At 44.1% G+C, this 1,913-nt stretch overlaps 1 annotated feature.

Annotated features, from left to right (window-relative positions):
- Positions 842 to 991: an enhancer, noted in NCBI's record as "active region_24958". NCBI's record gives its function as "activates an Ori minimal core promoter by ATAC-STARR-seq in GM12878 lymphoblastoid cells {active_cell/tissue: GM12878}" and the evidence as "EXISTENCE:reporter gene assay evidence [ECO:0000049][PMID:35858748]".

Raw genomic sequence — 1,913 nt, forward strand, 5'->3', positions numbered from 1 at the left:
TGTCTTGTTTTCTACTTTTCTCTCTCCCAAGGCATTTCTGGGGAGCACGGTTTGAAAAACATCCTTTTTAATACTGTCTTTGAATGATTTTTTTGGTATGAAAATAAATTTTTAAAGTGAAATAAAAAAAAAAAAGAAAAACACTTGTCTATAGCACAGCTATCTCTGTGTGTGGGGTCCATCATTCTTTCTAGTTGCTTTGAGCAAACACAAAACCTCTAACTTCTTTTTTTAAAATGGAAGACTTGGGGGCCACCCTTTGTGCTGTGGTTTCTTTGGCCTTATCCCATTGTCCAGGGGAGGCATTGGTGATGGAGCTTGTTCATTTTTCTTGTGCTCATTGGATATGCGATCACAGAAGATGTATCTAGGACTCTGGAAGTCATAGAAACTCACTATTATTAGTCTGAGAAAAAAAATGGGGAAAGTATAGGGAAGAAAAAAATAATCCAAACATTGTTGGCTGGGTGTGGTGGCTCATGCCTGTGATCCTAGCACTTTGGAAGGCAGGAGGATCATTTGAAGCCAGGAGTTTGAGACCAGCATGGGCAATATAGTGAGACTCTGTCTCTACAAAAAGTTAAAACGAAATTGGCTGGGTGTGTTGGTGTGCACCTGTAGTCCCAGCTTCTCAGCAGACTGAGGTAGGAAGATCCCTTGAGGCCAGGAGTTTGAGGCTGGAGTGAGCTATGGTCACACCACTGCACTCCAGCCTAGGCGAGAGAGTGAGACCTTGTCTCTAAAACAACAGCATGAGCAACAATAACAACAACAACAATGAAGTTCATCTCCAATTTCTTATCCTGTCCTTCTCCAGCTGCCTCCCACCTGGGGTAGCCTCAGTGGAGAAGCACAGCTGCTAAACTAACAAGCGCAGTAAAGCTTCCTGGGCCGGATGCGCCATGAGAAGATGGGTAAAAACATTAGGAGCCATGCACCCATAAAGGAAACCAAACAGGAAATTTGATGTGAATCATCAGAAAGCACCCTGTATGGAGAGAAGGCTGTGGGGCTTAGTCAAAGACAAAGCACATGTTGTGTTGTTTAGGGATAGTGGATGGGAGAAATCATATTAGCTGAATCTATAATAAGATAGAAACATAGAGTGTCCAGATTCTTGTAAAGCAGATGGTAAATGAATTCTGCTCCTGGAGAAGGACAGTTTAAGGAATTGGAGATGAATTTCAGCTTTAGGTACTATAAGAAAAGGCCATATTGATTCACAAGACAGTGAAGCCAGGTGTTCTGTTTCCAAGGGGCTGTGAAAGCCTTTGGCAGACTGTGTAGCTTCGGTTCATTTTCTGTCCATTTATCCACTTATTTCTGTGGCACCTGCCACGTGGGGGCTGAGAGGCAGTTAGCATTATTACACCTGCTGGCAGGCAAGAATAATTGGAGTTGCACAAAGATAAGCAGGGTTCTGTTCAGTTAAGAGCATCGTCTGAAGTGAGTGAGGCTGTCTGCACACTGGGGTGCTTTGTGGGGGTCCTAAGAGTGGTCTCTCTGAGACAGATGGTCTCGTAGTCCCAAGTCACTACTCTAATTGGTTTCTCCCGCGTATGTAGGAGGTAACAGGGGAAGGTGGGAGCAGGTCATTAAGAACCTGTCACACTGACTGCAAAGTTAGAGAGGCTGAACACTGAGGAGAGACTGGGGCTTGTTTTCTCCCAAAGGACACTTTGGAGGCAACACTCACTGCCTCTTGCTCACACCAGCTACCACTCTGATCCTCAGAAATCACAACTTTTTGCAAGCCCATTGATACAAGCTTGTGATGCCAATACAGGTTGTCAAGGTGGTTTTGAAGATGTTCAAGTCATATCCCATGAGGACATTAACACGAGGTTTCAGTCTTAAGCAGAAGTTAGAGGAGAGAAAGATCTAAGTGTGGTGAAAAGAGTATTGGACATTGG

The sequence above is a fragment of the Homo sapiens genome, chromosome 6, assembly GCF_000001405.40.
Source record: "Homo sapiens chromosome 6, GRCh38.p14 Primary Assembly".
NCBI lineage: Eukaryota > Metazoa > Chordata > Mammalia > Primates > Hominidae > Homo > Homo sapiens.